Source organism: Homo sapiens, chromosome 10, assembly GCF_000001405.40.
Source record: "Homo sapiens chromosome 10, GRCh38.p14 Primary Assembly".
NCBI lineage: Eukaryota > Metazoa > Chordata > Mammalia > Primates > Hominidae > Homo > Homo sapiens.
Window position 1 is genome coordinate 121,951,966 of NC_000010.11, and position 3,641 is coordinate 121,955,606.

Sequence of the window (3,641 nt, forward strand, 5' to 3'; positions counted from 1 at the left end):
GCTCTTGAGTATGCCACCATTTTTGAGAAGTCAACTAGAAAAAAATAAGGTTTAAATTATTTTATATTTTTTAGACTAGCATACTTTTAATCATTAATGCAATAAAACATATACTCCCCTGGTTTTTTTAAGTGCATCAAACTGGCAAAAATTAAAAAAGCCACAAGCACAGTATTTCCAAGTGTTTCAGCTGGCTGTGTGACAACTCTAAAACTTAGTGACTTAAAGCAACCACCACTTTATTATATCTCGCAGTTCTATGTCAGGAAATCAGACAGAGCTCAACTGGACATTTCTGTCCCATGAGGTACCACCAGAGCTGCCTGGGGATATTCAGGTGATGACTGGGCTCATCTGGAGGGTCCAAGATGGCTTCCCCACATGCCCTTGGCAGGGAAGGCTAGAAAGCTGGGCCTCCCTGGCCCATCTCTCATTTGCAGCTCTCCATGTGGTTTCAGTGCCACGTGGTAGTTGGACTTATTATTCGGTGACTCACGACTCCACGAATGTGTATTCCAAGAGGCCTGTTGGAAGCTAGAAGGCTTCTTATGACTTAGCCTCACAAGTCCCAGAACATCACTTCTGTATTCTACTGGTCACATAAGTCACCAAGACCAGCTTAAATCCAAGGAAAGGGAAAGCGGACTCCTATCAAAAAAACTTTGGGCTGGGCATGGTGGCTCCCACCTATAATCCCAGCACTTTGAGAGGCTGAGGCAGGCGTTATCACTTGAGGTCAGGAGTTCAAGACCAGCCTGGCCAACAAGGTGAAACCCCATCTCTACTAAAAATACAAAAAAAAGTAAGACGGGTGTGGTGGCTCGTGCCTGTAATCCCAGCTACTCGGGAGTCCGAGACAGGAGAATCGGTTGAACACAGGAGGCAGAGGTTACAGTGAGCTGAGATCTGGCCACTGCACTCCACCCTGGGGGACAGAGCGAGACTCTGTCTAAAAAAAAAAAAAAAAATTGTAGCCATTTTTAAATCTCCCCCTCCAAGAATCTGAAAAGTCTTAACTCACACACCTTCATCCTTCACTATGCTTTTCATTATTCTTTTAACATTGCTAATCGCAACACTTTTCTAGAAATCCAGAAACCTACAATTTCACAGCCTCTGAGTTGATCTTGACTAAAGCGGCATGGCTCCCTCTCTGTAGGAGTAAATATAGCAGAGGATGTACAAGCCTGTTACAATTATGCAGAAACACATTGTCTTGTACTCTCCAATCCACCTAAAACTTAATATCATATTCCTAAGCCTAAACCCTAACTCTGTCCAGGAGATGTAGCCCCTCTGTACTTCAAGGGGTTTACAACTCATGTGGGGAAGAAAACACTGAAGAAAAAAAAATAGCACGTCCGGTTATGCAGTATAAAGTGTTTTATTGAAAATATGGACTAGAGTAGGGCAGCAATTTAGGGGGAACTGAGAATGGAGCTTGGATGATAACTTCTTAGGCAGCGGAGACAGGAGGAAGGCATGGCCACAATTCCACCCTGATTCCTACCACCCTCAGCACAGAAATAAGGCTCCTCCCCAGCCGTTGGAGACATCTATGGAAAAGATTTGTGAATACATGAGATGAGAACAGACAGGACAACTGATTTAAGAACAAGGTACTATTGACAAAACCCTGGAGGAAAAGAAAGGCTTTGGGAAGGTGATAAGTTTTATTTATTTATTTATTTTTGAGATGGATTCTGGCTCTGTCGCCCAGGCCAGAGTGCAGTGGCGCCATCTCAGCTCACTGCAAGCTCCGCCTCCTGGGTTCCCGCCATTCTCCTGCCTCAACCTCCTGGGCAGCTGGGACTACAGGCACCTGCCACCACGCCAGGCTAATTTTTTGTATTTTTAGTAGAGACGGGGTTTCATCGCGTTAGCCAGGATGGTCTCGATTTCCTGTCCTCGTGATCCGCCCACCTCGGCCTCCCAGAGTGCTGGGATTACAGGCGTAAGCCACCAGGCCTGGCCAAGTTTTATTTTTAAAAGATAACATGGCCGGGTGCAGTGGTTCACGCCTATAATCCCAGCACTCTGGGAGGCCGAGGTAGGTGGATCACCTGAGGTCAGGAGTTTGAGACCAGCCTGGCCAACATGGTGAAACCCTGTCTCTACTAAAAATACAAAAATTAGCCAGGAGTGGTGGCAGGCACCTGTAATCCCAGCTACTCAGGAGGCTGAGGCAGGAGAATCTCTTGAACCCGGGAGGCAGAGGTTGCAGTGAGCCAAGATCACACCATTGCACTCCAGCCTAGGAGACAAGAGTGAAACTCCATCTCAAAAAATAAAATATAACATGTATTTTTCAGTTCAGAAATTTAAAGAAAAAGTAGCTCATAATAACCACTGTTGATTATTTTATCTTTACTTGTTTGAAATGGAGTCTCACTCTGTCGCCCAGGCTGGTGTGCAGTGGCCCAATCTTGGCTCAGTGCTACCTCCACCTCCCGGGTTCAAGCAGTTCTCCTGCCTCAGCCTCTGAGGATTACAGGTGCCCGCCACCATGCCCAGCTAATTTTGTATTTTTTAATAAAGGATTTCACCACATGGGCCAGGCTGGTCTTGAACTCCTGACCTCAAGTGATCCACGCGCCTCAGCTTCCCAAAATGCTGGATTACAGGTGTGAGCCACTGCGCTGGCCACTGTTGATAACTTTAAAAAGTAAAAAGTACAGGTTAGAAAATTCAATAGTTGGCCAGGCGTGGTGGCTCACACCTGTAATCCCAGCACTTTGGGAGGCCGAGGCGGGCAGATCACGAGGTCAGGAGATCAAGACTATCCTGGCCAACACGGTGAAACCCCGTTCTCTACTAAAAATACAAAAAAATTAGCCAGGCATGGTGGCGGGCGCCTGTAGTCCCAGCTACTCAGGAGACTGAGGCAGAAGAATGGCATGAACCTGGGAGGCGGAACTTGCAGTAAGACAAGATCACACCACTGCACTCCAGCCTGGGCGACAGAGCGAGACTCCTTCCCAAAAAAAAAAAAGTAAGTTCAATAGTTACAAAAAGGTACAAAATGAAAAGCAACATGGCCTTGGTTTGCAAAATGTAACCACTTTTAAGTGTCTCAAATTAGGAAAGTTTGAAACAAGTAGAAAGTAGAAAAATGACAGATAAAAAGGGGGGCAACTTTAGACAAGAACTTAGAAAGTTATGGTGTTAAGACTACATGTTATATAATTCCATTTATGTGCAATGTCTAGAACAGGCAAATTTACAGAAAGTAGATTAGTGGTTGCTTAGGGGTAAGAGGTCAGAATGGTAGGTGAGGTAGAGTGACAGCTAATGGGTTCAGGGTCAGGGGAACAAAAATGTTCAAAAATTAGATTGTGGTAATGGTTGCTAAGCCCTATGAATAGATGAAAAATGATTTATACAGTTTACATAGAAATTGTAGGTATGTTAATTATATATATAATATATATTATATGTGTGTGTGTGTGTGTGTGTGTGTGTATATATATATATATATATTTTTTTTTTTTTTTTTTTGAGGCAGTTTCATTCTTGTTGCCCAGGCTGGAGTGCAATGGCACAATCTCAGCTCACCACAACCTCTGTCTCCCTGGTTCAAGCGAGTCTCCTGCCTCAGCCTCCCGAGTCACTGGAATTACAGGCATGCACCAGCATGCCCG